Source organism: Homo sapiens, chromosome 1, assembly GCF_000001405.40.
Source record: "Homo sapiens chromosome 1, GRCh38.p14 Primary Assembly".
In the NCBI taxonomy this organism is placed as follows: Eukaryota; Metazoa; Chordata; class Mammalia; order Primates; family Hominidae; genus Homo; species Homo sapiens.
This window is the reverse complement of record NC_000001.11, coordinates 117,029,226-117,048,438: the sequence shown is the minus strand read 5'-3', so window position 1 is coordinate 117,048,438 and position 19,213 is coordinate 117,029,226. Positions and strand designations below refer to the sequence as shown.

The following is a 19,213-nucleotide window of genomic DNA, read 5'->3' as shown; positions in this document are numbered from 1 at the left end:
AGGACAAGCCACAGTCCAGTTCATTAATTATGCTGTCAATTTGGCTATAGTCTGAATGATGTTTCCCATAATTCACATATTGAAGTCCCAGCCCCCAGTGTGTTGGTATTTGAAGATGGGGCCTTTGGGAGATAATTAGGTTTAGATGAGGTCATGAGGATGGGTCATGATGGTATTAGTGCCCTTCTAAGAAGAGACCAGAGAGTTTGCCTTCTTTGTCATGCCATGTGACTACACAGTGAGAAGGTGGCTTGTCTACAAGCCAGAAAGAGAGTCCTCACCAAAATCCACATCATCTGGCACTTTGACTGGGACTTCCAGCCTACAGAACTGTGAGAAAATGAGTATCTGTTATTTCAGCCACCCCATCGGTGGTATTTTGTTATGGCAGCCCAAGCAGACTAATACAGATTCCAAACTAATTATTTGCTATCTGCCATAATAGTTGTTTTCCAAATGTGCCATTTGCACTCAAATCTACATGTAAATTGAAACAGGTAATTAATATAGGTACAATGTACCTCAGAATAGGAGTCTCTGGTGATGCCATTTCTCATTAATTCCCATATATTACATATCTTTACTTGGAACTCTTGGGTTAAACTACCCTGGCTTTGCATTTAACTGTAAAGCACTCAGATAATTCTATCCACATGCTCCTCTGTTCACACTGCCTTGATATCCTGACTTCTGAAACTTTATACTTACCTATCCCTTAAATTATCCTTTTGAGCTAAGAACCCAAGCAATGATCCTATTTCGTGGCAAAACCCATGCTTGCATTCTATTTCCACATCCTGTTCTACTAGTGTGCTAAGAATTAAGAAGTAAAATGCAAGTATCTCGTTTCCTTTTCAGGAATGGCTAGCTTGTTAAGAATGATGATGACACCTAACATTTATGAGTTCTGACTCCCTCACATGTATATCTCATTTAATCCTCACAATCAACTCTGTGAAGTAATGGGTATTATCCCCATTTTATGGATGAGGAAATTGAGGCAAAGCAAGATTAACCAGCAAAGATCACACAGCTAGTGGGTGACATCGTCAGAGCTTGAACCCAGGCAGTCTGAATCCAGAGCACACATTCCTGAGTATTAATTTTTTGGATGTATTCATTGGGCACACCATCTAAAAGAAGCAAAAAAATCTAAGTAGAGGAATGTAAGAGATAGTAGTTAGTGGCTTCAATTTCATCTCATCGATAGATGAGGGCTCATATATTTACTGTTTCTTTTGTATGGAAAGACTACTATTAAATACGGAGTTGCCATTGAGCCTTCTGTTGCCAGGTGGAAAATCTACTGGTTTACTGCATTTGAATGATCCACATTTAATCCTAACTGAATGCCTTTCCTCAATCAATAAAAGAATTTCAAGGGAAATATTTGGACACCTGTGTGTGTTAGGAGCTGATGTTGGGCTGAGCCAGTAACCTTTATTTGATATTGAAGCTAAGCCCAGCCACTTTAGACTCCTGTAACACCACTCAATGTTTTGCTTCAATGTTTTTTGTTTGTTTGTTTTCCACACAGCAGCCCCATTTGTCAATTTTAGGGCTAGAAGGTATTTGGCCCGTGCTTAGAGAATACGGGCCCTTCTGCCATCAGCACCCGTTTATTGGGCTGGTCACATCTTGGGCATTAAGAACAGAAGAACCCTCAATTTCCTGCTGCCAGCAGAGTGGTACAAATAGCTGCTGTCAGACAGACCATTAAACAATACAAAGATTCCCTAAAGACAGACTTAAGAACTTGTAGCATCTGCCTTCAGTCAGGGGAGACCATAACAAAACATGCTCTTATATGTCTATTTGAACAGCATCAGAAGGCAGCACAGAGTGGCCATTCAATCAACATGTGTTGGGCTGAATGGAAATCTGTCAGAACGAGGGCAAAGAGTGCAAAGGGGTCCCTGCTCCTGAAGTCCAAATTTATCTCCCCCTTTCAGAACATGCTAGCACTTAGAGATCTGTGACAACACAAGCACATATTATCGTTTTCTGTCCCAGTGGTCCTCTCATGACCTTGTGTGTACAGATCTTTGCCCATAATGAAACGGTAGAATCTTTATGACTTGAGGAGGCTACTGTGATAGAAAGACCATTGCTTCTGGAATCAAAGCATCTGGGCTTAATGATCATGATCTTTAATGCCACTTAATGATCATGATATTTAACTGCTTTTTCCTGATTTATGGTTATGATGGCTGACTTTATGTGTCAATTTGACTGGGCTAGGGAATGCCCAGATAGCTGGTAAAATATTATTTTTGGATATATCAGTGAGGATACCTCACTGATGTGGAGACGACATCCTCCAGTTTGTTGAGGGCCTAAATAGAACAAAAAGATAGAGAAAGGGCAAATTCTCTCTTTGTTCTTGTTCTGGGACATCCATCTTCTTTCTGCTGCCTTTGGAGCTCTTTGCTCTTGGACCTTCAGGCTCCAGGACTTACATCCCCTCCCCACTCAGTTCTCAGACTTTCTGCCTCAGACTGGGAGTTACATCATCAGCTCGCCTGGTTCTCAGGCCTTCAGACAGACTGAATTACACCACCAGCTGTCTTGGTTCTCCAGCATGCAGATGGCATATCGTGGGGCTTCTTGGCCTCCATAATTGTGTGAGACAATTCCCAGAATAAATCTCCTCTTATATATCTATACATAGCCTAACAATATTCTATTGTTTCTGTTTCTCTGGAGAACCCTGATGAATACAATGGTTTAATCTTGGCTTCTTGACAATATTGTTGTAAGGATTCAATCCTTGTAACATGTGATGGCAGCTCAATAAAGTAAACCTTAACTCCTTTATCCTTTCTTTGTTGAAGGAAGAAACAATGTCAGTCATTTCTGCCTGCCTACCTCCTAACATATGTTTTGGCACATACTAAGTACCAGAAAAATGCTTGTTGAATACATAAATCTTACAATTTCCCATCTATATTAAAATTCCTCATTCTATATTGGTCATCTGTTTGGTTCTCAACTACTTTTTGAAAGAAAAATGCTTTACAAAAAACCCTCAGGTTTAAATTATTTACATAAAGTTATGTATTATTATTAACAAGTTATATGTTATTAAGTTATGTGCATACAAAAAATGCTCAAATCTTAAAGACAGCTCAATGAATTTTTACATATGTATACACCCATGAAACCACAACCTAGGTCAAAAAAACAACATTTCAATTACCCCAGAAGGTTCCTTCATGCTACTTCTCAGCTAATACTTCCTCTGCCAGTGAAATCCTTATTCTGACTTCTGTCACCATAGATTAGTTTTGCTGGTTCTTGAATTTTGTACCTTTTTGTGTCTGTCTTCTTTTACTCAACAAATGCTGTGAGATTCATTCATGCTGTCATTATGTCAGTAGTTTGTTCATTTTTATTACTGTGTAGTATTCTATGATATGTACAAACTATAATTTATTCATTCACCTATCGATAAACAAGGGGATTGTTTCTAGTTTTTAGCAATAATGAATAAAGCTATGAATGTTCTTGTATATGTCATTTGGTGGACATAAGCATTTATTTCTCTTGGGAAAATGGTAGTAGTGGAATTGTAGGTCATAAAGTAGGTATATATTTAGCTTTATTAGAAACTACCAAACTATTTTACAAAATAGTTGAATACATTTACCCTCCCACCTGCAATGCATTAGATTTCTAGTTGCTCCACATTCTTACCAGTGTTTGCTATTGTCAGTCTTTTATATTTTCTATCCTGGTATATGAATAAAGTTATCTCACTGTTTTAATTTGCATTTTTCTCATGAGTAATGACATTGAACATCTTTCATACGCTGTGGCCATGGAGCTGTACCACTCATATCTCCTTTCAAGGGAGCCTGCTGCAAAGAGCATAGCTAATTGACAACCTCCAGCATCCAGATCTTCAAATATTTATGCTAAGGCCACATTTCCCTTGGGCTGCTCCCTGCCAAGGACTAAGCATGGCAGAGTTACTAGAGCTGGGCAATGTCTGCCCCATGGAGTACTTCTTCAATAAGCAACCTTTGCTCAGAGACTCCTTATCAGCTTGAGCCAGATTATCTCAGAACTGCTGTGCAATCTGAAGACCTTCTTATATAAATCCTCCTTCCTTCCCTGTTTCCTTTCACAGAAGTCAGACCTGCAGGACAGTCAAGGGCTCTTCCCCTCTTCTGCTCCATCGCCTTTTTTCTTCACTGGCATTGCCCCCAGTAGATCCCTTTCATGTCTAATCTTGGCATGTGCTTCTCAAAGCACCTGAACTAACAGTATGCTTATTGGCGATTCTGAGATCCATGTTCAAGTCTTTTTTCTGTCTTTTTCAAACCATATTTAAATCTTTTGGCCATTTTTTTAATTGAGTTATGTGCTTCTCCTCTTTTAAAATTGATTTATAAAAGTTTGGTATATATTCTGGATATAAGCCTTTGTCAGATATGTTTTATGAATATCATTCTCCCAGTCTGTGATATAATTACTATTTTTGGAGACAGAGTCTCTCTCTGTCACCCATACTGGAATGCAGTGGCATGATGACAGCTCACTGCAGCCTCTACCTTCTGGGCTCAAGCAATCCTCCCATGTCAGCCTCCCAAGGAGCTGGACTGCTGGAACATACTACCAAGCCTGGCTTTTAAAATTTTTTAATTTTTTTTTGGTAGAAAAGATGTCTCACTATGTTACCCAGGCTTGTCTTGAACTGCTGGGCTCAAGTGATCCTCCCACCTTAGCCTCCCACAGTGCTGGGATTACAAGCATGAGCCACCACGTCCAGCCATCACTTTCTTAATATTGTCTTTTAATGAACAAAAAGTTTAATTTTAATGATGTCCAATTTTTCTATTTTTTTTCTCTTATCCTATTACATGAGATAGATGTCAAGGTTTGTTTTCCCCCCATATGAGTATCCAATTACTCTAGCACCATATATTAGAAAGAGCATCCTTTCCCCACTATAGTAGCACCTATAATGGAAATGTGTGTGTGTATATGTATTTCTAAACTCTATTCTGCTTCTTAGGTTTCCTTGTTTACTTGTGCACCTATTCCACATGGTCTTACTTATTATAGTTTGTAGAATGTTCTGGACTCTGAGAATATAATTCCTCCAAGTTTTGATTCTTAAATATTGTTTTGTCGATTCTAGATAATTTGTATTTCCATTTAACACTAAATGAGCTTGTCAGTTTCTAAAAAACACTTGAGATTTGCATTATGATTCCATTAAACCACAGTTTCTCAACCTGGCACTATTGAAATTTGGGGCCAGACAATTCTTTGTTGTTAGGGAGAGCCGCTGTGCTGTTTATTGTAGGATGTTCAGTACTAGACCTGGTCTTCACTCACTGGATGCCAGTAGCACTTCTCAAGTTGTAAAGACATGCCAAAATGTCTCCACAAATTGCCAGATGTCCTCTGGGAGCAAAATTGCCACTCCCTCCCCATGGATAACAACTGCATCAAATCTATAGATCAACTTGGAGAAAACTGACAACTTAATGATATTGAACCTTCCAATCCATGAAAATGGAATCTCTATTTAGTTAGGTCTTCTTTATCTCAGCAAAGTATTGTAATTTTCAATGTAGAGTTTTTGCACATCTTTTGTTAAATTTATTCCAATGCATTTAATATTTTCTATTAAATGTAATTTTCAAATTAATTTTTCAATTTTTGATTTTTAATATACAAAAATTAGTGCATTTTTGCTCATTTTTGATCAACATGTTCATCATGTATTCAGCAACCCTGTTTGGAGACACTTTTGGATTTTCTACAAATATAATCAAGTCACCTGCAAATAAAGAGTTTAACTTCTGTTCTAATCCTTTTACCTTATATTTATTTGTCTTGTTTTTTTGCATTGGCTACGACCTCCAGTATAATATTCAACAGAGAGTGATAGTTGATGTTATCATCTTATTCCTAACTATGGGGGAAATAATTTAATATTCCACCATTAATTATTATATACTTTATCAATTTTAGAAAATTCCCCTCTGTTACTAGTTTACTGAGAAATATTATTAAGAATAAGTGTTAAGGCTGGGTGTGGTGGCTCACACGTATAATCCCAACACTTTGGGAGGCCAAGACAGGTGGATCACTTGAGGCTAGGAGTTTGAGACCAGCCTGGCCAACATGGCAAAATCCCATCTCTACTAAAAATATGAATGTTAGTCAGGCGTGGTGACACACACCTGTAATCCCAGCTACTCGAGTGGCTAAGGCACAAGAATCCTCCCTTGAACCCAGGAGGCAAAGGTTGCAGTGAGCCGAGATCATGCTACTGCACTCCAGCCTGGGTGACGGGTGACAGAGCAAGAGTCTGTCTCAAAAAAAAAAAAAAAAAAAAAAGAAGTGTTGAATGTTATTAAATTCTTTTTTCTTGATCTGTTGAGATGATCAAGTGTTAATGTAGTGATTTACATAGATTAAATTTTAAATGTTAAACCAACCTTGCATTCCCTGTAAGAAATCATGCTCAGTAGTAAATTGTTATTAAATCATGATTGGTTGTGATTTAATGTATTACTGCAGACTATTGTGGATGGGCAAAGATTTCTTGAACAATACATAAAACCACTACAGTGGGGAAAGAATGCTCTTTTTAAAAATATGGTACTGGAGCAATGGGATAATCATATGGAGCAAATTAAACCGTGATCTTTATCTCACTTTTATAATGTGGTAAAATATATAACATAAAATTTACCATTTTAACCATTTTTATATGCTCATCTCAGTGGTATTAAGTTCAATCACATTGCTGTGCAGCCGTCACCACAATCCAGCTCCAGAAGTTTTTTCATCTTCCCAAATTAAAACTCTGTAAATCATTAAACAATCATTCCCTATCACCCCTCCCTCAGGCCCAGCAACAACTATTCTAGTTTCTGTCTCTATAAATTGGACTGGTTTAGGTACCTCATATGAGTAGAATCATATAGCATTTGCCATTTTGTGACTGGCTCATTCACTTAGCATAATATCTTCAAGGTTCATCCATGTCAATAGCATGTGTCAGAATTTATTATCTTATTAAAGATGACTAATATTGTATTATTTTTCATGTACCATATTTTCTTTATCCATCCATTTATCCATTGATGCACACTGGCTTTCTTCCACCCACCTTTGGCTTTAGTGAATAATGCTGCTATGAACAGGGGTATACAAATATCTCTTCTTGCCCCTACTTTGAATTATTCTGGGTATATACCCAGAAGTAAAATTTCTGGCTCATATGGTAATTCTATTTTTAATTTTTGAGGAAGTGCCATTCTGTTTTCCATAGCAGCTGCTCTGCCAGTGCTATGGAAAACAGAATGATTCCCATCAGCAGTGCACGAGAATTCTACCTCACATTTTATACAAAAATTACTTTATATAAAAATCAATTTGACATGTATTTTAGACCTATTTTTAAATGGTAAGACAATGAAGCTTTTAGAAGAAACCATAGGCCAATAACTCACAATTTTAAGATATAGGCATAACCTTCAGATGCTATTTTGGTGGCAGAGTTTTAGCATTTATTGATGGCTTTAGGATGTGATGCAGGGATTACAAGGAACAGAATTCCACCCCTAAAAGTGTTTTGATTACCTTGCACAATATCTTATATCTTATGTTGAACTTAAGTGCCTTTCAATAGATATGCATGCTCCAATTGCTCTAATCTTCATCCCTCCCTAAGGATTTCCTCCAGACCGATACTTTCTCTTCATTTACGTACCTTAGATGCTGAAACATCTAAGTTTATGATCCCTGGTCTATAGTATTATTGTACCCAAATAACTATTACTGATAGAAGTTTTGATTAGAAACTCACTGCATATATACATATGCGTGTCATCAAAGAACATTTATTGCTATTGTCATCGTATGTATTTGTTTTATTGGCCTGAGCCTCTCAATAATGACTGTTATCATGAGGAAAATGTTGAAAACCCCTCACACTGAAGAAGTACCTATGTAAATAATAAAAGGCAAAAGGTAGCAGGCTTTAAACTTGCACCAGTGGCATACAGTAGCTTCCATATTACTTTGTCTTTCCAATGTATTTGTGTGCCACGTGTGCACATCAGGCCACCAAGAAACACCTCCCAGCAGAGTGTGGTTTTGGGAGAGAGGAACCAAGATAAGATTATGGGAGCTCAAAATCTTATAATTACCAAAGGGCATGAGATGGGGTAGGGAGCTTTCTGAGATCTTGGTTTGCATCACAACTCTCTATATGAACATGATCCAGCCCAGAAGATGCAAACGAAAGAACAAACAGTATTGATTTTCCCTGGTATGTTATGTGGACACCCTTAGCAATAAACACATATTGAAGTCAATTGAGTGGGATGAACAGGATCACAAAAAAGGAGAAATTTTCCAAATGAAAGACACAAAATCAGGGGCATGTTTGGTAGACACCTGGGGAGTAATTACCTGGCAAGTAATTTGGTGTGGCTGGAGCACAAGGTACCCAGAAAGGGACTAGGGTGAGATAAGTCCACCAAGAATCCTATTGTTGAAAAGCCAGTTTAAAATGGAAGCACACACCCTCTCGGTTCCCTTGACAATGTGACCTTATAGGAGTAATAAATTTGGATTTTCCTATGCTGGTTATTTATACCATAGAAACTTCTTAATCACTGTCCTCATCCAATATAGTCTCTCGTCTCGGTAAATGGCTTAATGTGATAATTATGCTTCAACTCAAAACATCTCTATTTGGCAGTCAGAGCTGGTTCAGAAGGAGCCTTGGATTAAGAGACAATATGGTAGAAACTCCAAATTTCTAACAAGTAAATTAAATGTAAAGGTGAATAAATTTTTTAAAAAATGGAAAGCCAGTTAATATAATGAATGGATGGAACTGTCTCTTATCTCTAAACTTATCAGTAGAAAACTAGGTTAACGAGCATTTATTAGACACAAGAAGAGTCTCATCATGTGTCATTGTGTTTAATATACAGGAGCTACCTCTATGAGCTTGATACTTGAAACTTTCTGATAATTTTTTTCTATACTCAAAATGCTCACAAAATTGGTGTGATAGCCATTACACAAATTAAGAGAGTGAAGATGGTTTTCCAGCTGGCTTCCCTGCCTCACCTTTGTACCACTGCCATCCTCACTCCAACCCCACCTATCATCTATGCTGTTGCTTTTCAATTCTCCTTCCCTACTACATTACATTCACTGGCTCACTATTGTCCACCACATGAAGTCCAAGATATTATCCATGTTCAAGATCTGTTCTTCTGTCCTTCCCCAACCCCAGAATTTTGCTCTAACTACTTTTCCAGATTTATCTCCCATTGCTCCCCTTCATAGATCTGACACTTAACCCAAAGCTATTGTAAGCACTGCACTTTTCATGGGGCTTCCTCTGTCCAGACCTCTGCTTAACCCTTTTCCTGTCAAAATATTTTCTTATTTTTAAAGCCCAGTTCAACTTACATCTTCTTTATGAAGTTGTCTCTGATTTCTAAATGCCTGTAGCACTTTATTAGGAGTAAAAATTAATAGCCAGTTTGACAGAATTCCCACCTGAGCCTACAGGGAATGCAGACTTCTCAGGCTCTGTCTGCCAAGTGGTAGAGCTCCCCAACAGCACAATTGCATAACCTTCCTGCTGGAGGAAAAGAGGACCTGTGATGAGGAGGTTAGTGCAGAGGCTGCTGGGAACAGGCAATGGGAAATGGAGAGAATAGCATGAAGTCTTTCCCAGCCTGGCCGCAGACTTGCTGGTGTCTGGACTCTGGAGAAAGGAGATACTGGGCAAATGCTAATGGAACAGTTTTCACAAGAGAATCTTTAGAGACACGGGTGCAAACAATCTTGAATTTGTATCCTTACAGAAGAGTGTAATGTAAAGACAGAGAAAGAGTCCCTTTTCACTGCTTATCACTGAACACGACTCAGCTTGGCATCTCATGTGCTCTGGCATGCCAGCTGCGGTGGGAGCCCGCAGAGCCCAACGGAGCTGCAGGGAACCACATGGGAATGGACTTGCTTGTGAGCTCATGTGAATTCACAGAATCCGGGCCAGATGTGGTGGTGTGTACTTGTAGACCCAGCTACTTGGGAGGCTCTTGCAGGAGGATTACTTGAGCTCAGGAGCTCAATGCCAGCTTGAGCAATCTAGTGAGACCTCATCTCTTTAAAAAAAAATTTCCAGTTTTGGGAAATCCCCCAGAAATAGCTAAAGGACACTGTAGATGGCCAAGACCCTGTGTAAATATTCTGGGAGGGAAAGCCTGTAGAATTTGGATTATTACTATTGATTACATTTTATTTATGTACACGGACAGGTTAAGTCCTAGAAAAACTTGGGTTAATGCTGACATTCATTTATGACTTGATGTGGTTTTAAAACTTATCTCCATTGATGTATCTGATTTGATCACCATAACAACCACTCAAAGTGGCTATTATTATATCCAGATTTTCCCCCATAGCAATGGATTTGAGCATATTTTTTGTGTTTATTGTGGAAAGAGTGTTTATTGTGGAAAGAGTCCAGGACTTGTCAGCAGACCTAAGTTTGAGCTTTTACTCTTCTGCATATGGCTGGGTGATCCTGGATAAATCCCAACCTCTCTGAGCTATAATTCCTTACCTGTAGGACAGGAATAACAATTCCTTTTGTATAGAGATGCTGTAAAATTCTGAGATAATGAAAAAAATCCTGTACGATTGTAAGAAATTATTATGGCACATGACTTTATACCATTGCATTCATCTTCTGCCATAAATCGGTTTTTTCTATACATCTCAATACAATAAAAATAATTAACAGCAACCATGCCTTAATCATCCCTGTGTCATCTTATCTTGCACAGAGTAGGTACTCAGTATGATGGCGTGAAACGTTGCAGGGTGATAAACTTCCCATCTATAGTGTGAGGCCGGTACAGCGGAGTCAAACTTCAGAATGGCTGGGACTAGATGCCAATCCTGAAAACCTAAGATTATTTATTAGATTAATCAGATATAGAAGAGATTCAGATATAAGAGGTCAAATCAGTTTCCCAGGGACATAATACATGGCTAAGAGAGACAGAACATTAAAGGACAGCAGGGCTGGCAAATGTTTTCTGTAAAGGGCCAGAATAATAAACATTTTAGGCAATGTAGGTCCTATGGTCTCTGTGGCAACTACACAACTTTGCCATTTTTATCGTGAAAGCAGCCACAGACAGTATGTAAGCGAATGGGAGTGACCATATTCCAGTATATTGTATTTTAAAAAACAAACAGATGGTGGGCTGCATTTGGCCCATAGGCCCTGGTTGGTCAACTCCTGAGACAGAGGCTTGTCCTTTTGCCAAGGAAGATTTATAACACAAAAAGCCAAAAGTAAAACCAGGTGGTGGCATGAAATGGAAAAGCTGAAATCAATAAGTAAAAGTAAAGCTCTCCACTAAGTTTCAAAAACCAAAGGTAAACAGTATGTAATTGGAGAGAGAAGAGGTTTCACATAAAATGTCTGCTGAACTGGATCAGGGCAAATTTTATTCTGTAAATTTAAAAAGAAGAAAATACTGTGGGGGTGTTTTAGTTTTGGAGGATTTTAGTTGCCTATGGGACAAAGAGTGCCATGTGGCTGCTTAGACTATCAAAGGTGCTCTAAGTCCCATTAATGAAAGCAGAGCATCCAGGACAAACAAGGTGAGCATCCCAGGGGCATGGGGCTGTGTCTGAGTCACCACAGGGCCCCTTGCTCCTAGCACAGGGCCTGACATGCAGCAGGTACCCACTGGGAACTCACACTTCCCATGCTGTGCTCTGGCCGGAACCGTTTCATATTTGAGGGTCTCTGTTCCCTGAAAAAAACCAGCGTTTGTTTGCCTGGCGAGTAACAAATAACTCTCCACAAGAACATGAGTTTTGATGAAAAGGAGTTTTTTTTTTTTTTTACTTGTCACAAGCAAGGAGAGCGCTGGGAATACTCTCCAAAGCGGTGTCTCTGAAGGAAAGTGACAGGAGGGTTTTATGGGGTGATGGAGAGGGGAGAGAGTGCATTGGTGCATGTAGGGGAGGGGTCCCAGTGGCGCAGCCGCAGTGAGTCGTCCTGCCAGCACACAGGTCACATGTTACGGTCATGAAGCTATAGCTCCCCCTGGGGTAGTGACTTCAGGATGGTAATGAGGAAAGTTCACTTGGGTTCATCTAGAAGTTGCCGGGGTCTGTCAGGAGCTGGTTCCAGGTGACTAGGTCACCACATTCCACACGGGGCTTGGGAAGAAACAGGCAGCAAGGCAGGAAGCTGTAAAACAAGCTGATTGCTCAAGTTGGTTAAATGTCTGCTTTCCCAGGAGACCCTCCCTGTCTGCTTACATCTCCTCTGTGCTATCTCTGTGCTGGATTCAAAAGGGGAAGAGGTGTTTGAGCTAGAAGCTTGAAGGAGGTGTCCATGTGAGCAGAGAGGAGGGATGGGGTGAAGAGTGCTCCCACAGAGGGCTGCAGCAGAGTCCATCCAAGATTCTCTGCCCAGGCTCACTTCTGCTCTCTTTCCCTTTGAATTAAAATACAGGTTTCTAAAAAATAGGGGCAGGGGGTCATCACACTTTCTAAGAGTCTTCTGCCGGGCGTGGTGGCTCACGCCTGTAATCCCAGCACTTTGGGAGGCCGAGGCGGGTGGATCATGAAGTCAGGAGATCGAGACCATCCTGGCTAACACGGTGAAACCCCGTCTCTACTAAAAATACAAAAAAAAATTAGCCAGGCATGGTGGCGGGTGCCTGTAGTCCCAGCTACTTGGGAGGCTGAGGCAGGAGGATGGCGTGAACCCGGGAGGCGGAGCTTGCAGTGAGCCCAGGTCACACCACTGCACTCCAGCCCGGGCGACAGAGCGAGACTTCATCTCAAAAAAAAAAAAAAAAAAGTCTTCATTTCAGCTTTGTTGTTTGTAAAAATATGCTCCCTTACCTGGATGACAAGAAACAAATGTGCTGACATGTTTAAGGAAAGATTTGGAGTATTTTAAATCAGGCTATGAAGGGACATGAGTTTAAGGAACTGGTAGGTCCATAGTAGGAGTGCTCATAGCCACCAATAATCCCCTTAGGAAGGAACTAATTATGTTTGGAGAGGACGTGTGTGCCTGATCAAATAATTAAAACTAAATTGCTCTCCTTGGAAATGCAAATTAACGAGTGTTAAAGCAACTCGGTTGGTCACATAGATAATAAATAGATGTGTTTTCTCAAGTCTTTAGGTGGCACTGATTGATTTCCAATTCTGGCTACAACAGGGCCTGAGCGGCTTTTGAAACAAAGATGAGGGGACTGTAGGCCCAGTGGGGACAGCTGTTGAAAGCTTTAAGCCATTACACCCCACCCCCACCGGCTGCTTTTTGCTACTGAGAATAGGAGACCTTGAGGAACCAGACTTGACCTACTGCTGCCCCAAACCCCAGCCCTGCAGGCGTATGAGGGAACGGTGGCACTGTCAACCCTGCTCCTCCAGACAATACCTTCCCTACCACCCAGTGCTGTCAGGTCAAAGAAAATAAGGCACTGGCTGAGCACCAGGAGCCAGATGGACCTTTTGGTGGGGATATGGAGGTGTAGGGGGAAGCAGGGGTACGAGGCCTTGGGGGGCTGACTGGAGTACTGTTACATGAGTTTTTACAAAGTTTTTGCTCAGCAATTACTTAATAAAAAGTCTTATCAAACAATAAACAAAAAGCCCCAAACTCAGGTTACAAATGTTTTATCATTTTGTCAAAGAACCTGTATTAGTTAAGCACCTTTACACAGAACTTGCTCTTGAGTGGGCCTTTGTAGGTGGGCTGGGAGAAGAAAATTGAATTTCTGCCTCGAAGGAAGTTACATTCTTGTTGTGGGGACAGATTTTAGGTAAACAAAGAGCATGTTACCAATTCCTTTTTCCTTGCTGGCATCAGGTCCTTTCCTACACCTCTCATCTGGAGGAAAATGATTACCTAGAGCAGGTGTGACAAGTGACATAAGAGGGAGAGAGAAGCCCCACCAGGGCATTGCTGTAGGATCTCATTTAGCCCTCCAGAGGCTGTGTGAGGGAGCCTCTTATCTCCTTGCAGCCCAGGGACCTGAACCTTCAAGAGATGTAGGGTAATGATGCTATCTTGTTCCAAGGGGGGATGCGAGAGGTGGATGAGGTAAGACACAAAGGAACACCTAACAGTGCGTAGAACCAATAAGCACTCAGTGAATGCTCCCTCTGATTCCTAGGTAACTTGCCCAAGGCCGCAGACATAGTTGAGGACAGAACCAGGATTCATTCACACCCTGGTTAGCCCAATTAAAAAGCCCCCACCTTTCCTTCCTGGCTGCAGGTGCCTCTTGGGATTCAGTTGCCTTCATCTTCCTCCTCGTCTTCCCTCCTATTTGTGGTCACACCTCCAGCCTCTTTCAAGTCCACCCAGAGAGCTTTTTCTTTCCGTGTGTTGGAACGCAGTGTTGACAACTTCCTGGCCTTCCAGTATAAGCAGAGGAGGGAGATGAGCAGAAGGAGGAGCAGGACGAAGGGACAGATGAACAGGAAATAGAGTAAAGGGGCCGAGGAGCAGATCCTGGAAGGAAGCGTGGGCTCTGCAACGAAGGGAGAAACAAGAGAGTAATTCATCTCCAACTTATTTGTACTAGTCAATTACAAACACTCCTGGGATTTATTGTTATAGGCAAGTATATGTAAAAATAATGGGGCCAAATAGCAGTGGGCCCCTGAAATCATGAGGAGCACAGGACAGAGCACTGGGGGAAGAGAGCTCCTGGAACAGGCTCTTCTAATGCAACAGCCCCTTGCCCTGCGATTTCCAACCACTGGAGGTTCCAATGACCTACTTAAAACTAACAGCCAAAATGAAAAACAAAACAAAAAAGAAAACCTCTCCTTTAATCTTCTTTCTTCAGAAAAGATATCTATAATTCAACCCTCGTTCTCAACAGTGTTGCCAGTCCTGAATTTTTAACTGAGTTATTCCCACTGCTGCTCCTCCAACACACAGGCACACACTCTTTCTCACACACACATACACACACACTCTGCCCTGCACTCTGCACTGTCCTTATAAAACAATCACACCCACAATAAGAAGCCCCTACCCCCGCTGACCCAAGCCTGGCCCTCCCTGTGGGTCTCCTCCTTCCCCGGCCCCCTCCCTCCCACTCCTTTCCTGTGTTGCTCTGGCTGTGGCCACCACCTGACATGCTCCATGCATCTGAGCCTCTAGGTCCTTCTGGCCTAGCTCCATCACACTTCCTACTCTCTCAGCTCTTCCTACCTTGCTGCAGGCACAGTTCTTCTCTTCCATCCCGTTCTCACTCAGCCCTTTGTTTAGGCCTCTTTAATTCCCTTTTACTCGTCTCCTTTGTTCACTATAGTTACTTGAGTATGTCTGATAGTGCCATTTGTTTCTATATCCCCTACAGTGCCTAGCACATGTGCTCAGTAACTTTTGCTGATCTGAATTAAATTGGATTGACTGCAACCACATGGGCAAAAGATACTATATAAAGGCATGCTGAAGCATATGATCATCCCGCAGCTGCAGTCCGCCGGGAAGCACTATCAATCAGCAGATACACACGCAGAGCACGCACAAGCAGCCCCAAAGTGGCTCCTGGCCACACGGCCAGGAAAGCAAAGGCCCAGAGGACTGCAAACACCACAGGTTTCAGGAAACAGTCTATTGAAGCAGAAAGACACATGCTTAAAGAGACCAATTACTAAATGTAGTCTTCCAATTACATTTATTTATGACATGATATCTGAAATCAGGGCTGTTCTGAAATATTCAATGCTAACTGTAGCTGTGCTTTTACTGGAAAATTGTAATGACATAAGCAATTTCTTCTTCAAAGGTTAAGCTACAGGATTCATGGGATTATGGATGCTTAGAGATGAAAGAGGTTTAGAGGTCATTTTGACCAACCTCCTGCTGCAAGAATTCCATTTTTGGCATTGCCGACGAATCCTACATGTTAAAGAACATCTCTTTGATGATAGTCAAGAAAGAATCTAGACATTCGCTCACCTCCTGCACTGTGAGCTCCTTGAGGGTAGGGCCTGTGTCTTGTGTGTCTTTTTATCTTCCTCAACTCTTTGTTCACAGGGTCTCAATGGAGCCTGATGAATGAATCAATTGCATGAGTACATTCCACACATGGGAACCCAGGGATGGCTGCCATCATGCTATACAAAGTACAGATCATCACTGAACATTAGGCTGGCAGCTCTGAATGGGGCTGGCAAAGAGCAGCAGAGGTTCATGGCCTGGATTTTCTCTGATCTCATTTGTATCCTTCATCCTAAATTTAGTTTTGTTTTTTGAAATGGTGAGCAATGATAAAGTTAGGTTTTGAATTCTTTACCATCCCTCTGCTCCACATCCTATCTGACCCCTCTTCCAATGACCCTGCTTGACTACAGTTATTCTCCCCCGGTCTTATCTGAGTACATTTGAAGGCCCGTGGCTAGAAGGAAGCATAGACTGCAATGATGCAAGTGAATGGAGCCATGGAGTCCAGGTATTATAAGCACTGGCTGTGAGCATTTGTGCAGAGTAGTGAATGAGCACCTACTGTGTTTCAAAGAGAGCTGAGTTCAAATCCTCAATCTTCAATGTGCTGTTATTGACATTGGATAAGTTACTTATCCTCTCTTAATCATTAGTTTCCTCATCAACCAAATAGGGATAACAATTTCTAGAGTTGTGATGAGATAATGTATAATAAAGCATCTAACGAAGTGCCTAAAGCATTTGTGGAGTCAGCAAGCAATAAATATTAGCTAGAATGCTACTGAGAAAGCTAAGAAAATCACAGGAAACCTTCTCCCAAGAGAACAGACAGAGAACAGGGCTGGAGCCTACAGATATCTCTCCCACAGGGACCCCAGGCTTGGCCATCTTCCTCCACAGGCTCTCTCTCCCTTACATCTCTAGTCCCCCTGTCCTCAGACCTGGGTGACATTCAGCAAAGACTGAAATGATTACTTAGGAGGCCCTGGCTTCCTTTTCTACTCATGGGAGGCAGAGAATTGTGAGGTTAGAGTCCACAGCACCAGGTATTACAGTTGCTAGAATGGTGGGGTAATGATGGCGAGATGGGGCCACTACACAGGAGGTGGAAATAAATCTGCTACTCTGCTTTTCAGCATGAAGGAACAGCCAGAGGGCTTGGCTATCTTGGTGGGGAAGAGGCTGCCCAGCTTAGTGCAATCTGCCATCAAAGGATGGCAAGGTGTGCCCCTTACCATGCTGAAGTGGCCAACAGCTAGCAACTGTTAGTGCCTGTGCTGTTAAATCACCTCTCCTGGGAGGCCAGTGTTTGCTCTGCATCCCACAGTCACCATTTCCCACCATCTGCCTCTCACCCATATCTGGATTAGAATTAGTGACATTCAAACCATTAAGGTTTGGCATTTTGATCAATCTAAGTAAGTGCCCAATGCTCAAAGTACAAGGTCTTCAAAACAAAGCCAAAAATGTAATGAGAGCACTTCATCATGAGGCTTAGTTTAGAACGTGCTTCCACCCACAGCCAAGCACAGCAAAAGGAGCACTCCTTTTTGATATTTCCTCAGAGACACTGACTTCAGAAGAAAAGAGGTGTGAGATAAAGAGGGGGCTGCCAACTCTTCCCCACTACCCAACCCCAAACATGCAGCCATGTGGGAGTTGGCTCTTGCCAAGAAATAAAAGTAGGGTAAGGTAACCTGATAACAAGTGCATCCCAGAATAAGTGAATCACTGACAGCATCCTGTTTCAACCCAACTGAAGACGTGCCTGCTCATTCTTTCATTAAGCATTTGTTGAATGCCATGTGCTAGGCCTTGCTGGAGGTACTGGGAAGCACAGGTAAGTAGCTTGGCATCTCCAAATACTTCAGTGTGGTAAAGACACACAGCTCCTTCAAGAATCCACTTCCTTATCTTCCCTTCTCCCCTTTCCCTTTCTCTCTTTCTCTTTCTCTCTCTCTTTTTTTCTTTCTTTTCTTTCTTTCTCTTTCTTTCTTTCTCTGTCTCTTTCTCTCTCTCTCTCTTTGTTTGTTTGTTTGTTTGTTTGTTTTGACAGTGTCTTGCTCTGTCATCCAGACTGGAGCAAAGTGGCATGATCATGGCTTACTGCAGCCTTGACCTCCAAACTCAAGCAATCCTCCCATCTCAGCCTTTTGAGTAGCAAGTACTACAGGCGTGCATCAACCATGTGTCTAATTTTTAAATTTTTTGTAGAGACAGGGGTCTCAAACTCCTGGGCTCAAGTAATCCTCCCACCTCAGCCTCCCAAAGTGCTGGGATTACAGATGGGAGCCATCACATCTGGCCCAAGGATCTAATTTCTAAATAGACCTTTACCCAAATAAAAGCTGGGAAATAGTAACAAGTACCACACTACTACAGATAATCCAGTTCCCAGGAAGCCTTATAGCCTGGCCTATCAATTAATCACAGACAATTCTCTAGAATAAGACATTTAATGTCTAGGGTCTAAGGGTAAGGTAAAAAGACTGAGGAAGCTGTTGTCTCTGCCATAGCTTAGTCACTGATAAGGAAATAAGATAGAGAAGAAAAGGCAAGGTCCATTCTCCGAGAAAATGTCTCTTAACTTTCCTGCCTTCACTTGAGCCACATGCTCTACAGTCCTATTGTGTGGCCCTAAAACCAGCCCAAGCTGGGATAGCCAGATAGAGAGCATGGAAAACCATCTGTTAAGTGACCATAGGTAGCATATTATATTTGAACTGGATCTTGATAACACATAGACCTGGTACTCAACAGGAGTGCAATTACACAGTGATTCAGTAAACATTTAAGCATCCCCTATGTGCCAGGCACTGTGCTAGTGCTACTAATGAGACACTCATTATCTTTGCCTATAGTATAGTCTAGCAGTGTGACAGATGTTAAACAGGTAACTGCAGGTGTGGGGGCTAAAAGAATAAGGGAAGTCTCTGAGGCAGTGGCAGTTAAGTTGCTGGATGAAGGATGAGAGTGTTGACCAGGGAAAGATGGCATGGAGGAGCATTCCAGGAAGGAGATGGTGCATGCATGGTGAGATGTTGGACTGACAGTCGTATCTACTCTTCTATTAATCTTTTTCTTCCTTCCTTCATTCCTTCTTTCTTTCTTTCTTCTTTCTTTCTTTCAGATGTTGGACTGTCAACCGTATCTACTCTTTCTTTCTTTCTTTCTTTCTTTCTTTCTTTCTTTCTTTCTTTCTTT

General features: G+C 41.4%; 1 protein-coding gene and 1 long non-coding RNA gene across 6 annotated transcripts in view; one reads left to right on the top strand and one right to left on the bottom strand.

The window, feature by feature from the left end:
• The window catches only part of CD101-AS1 (CD101 antisense RNA 1), a 34,009-nt gene that overhangs the window by 11,052 nt on the left and 3,744 nt on the right, over positions 1-19,213 (top strand). Inside the window, exon 3 of the long non-coding RNA NR_110786.1 lies at positions 16,103-16,325. This is a non-coding gene — a long non-coding RNA (CD101 antisense RNA 1). The remainder of the gene's footprint in view (positions 1-16,102; positions 16,326-19,213) is intronic.
• The window catches only part of CD101 (CD101 molecule), a 34,793-nt gene continuing 27,466 nt past the window's right edge, over positions 11,887-19,213 (bottom strand). For 2 of the 5 annotated variants that reach the window (NM_001256109.3, NM_001256111.3), the window contains exons 9-10: positions 14,305-14,579; positions 11,887-12,240 (exon numbers count right to left, since the gene is read on the bottom strand). In NM_001256109.3, coding sequence (NP_001243038.1) covers positions 14,338-14,579 — 242 coding nt within the window. In that variant the 3' untranslated portion in view covers positions 11,887-12,240; positions 14,305-14,337. Of the gene's footprint in view, positions 14,580-19,213 lie in introns of all 5 variants that reach the window. The other 3 variants (NM_004258.6, NM_001256106.3, XM_047434715.1) reach the window with 3 other exon arrangements.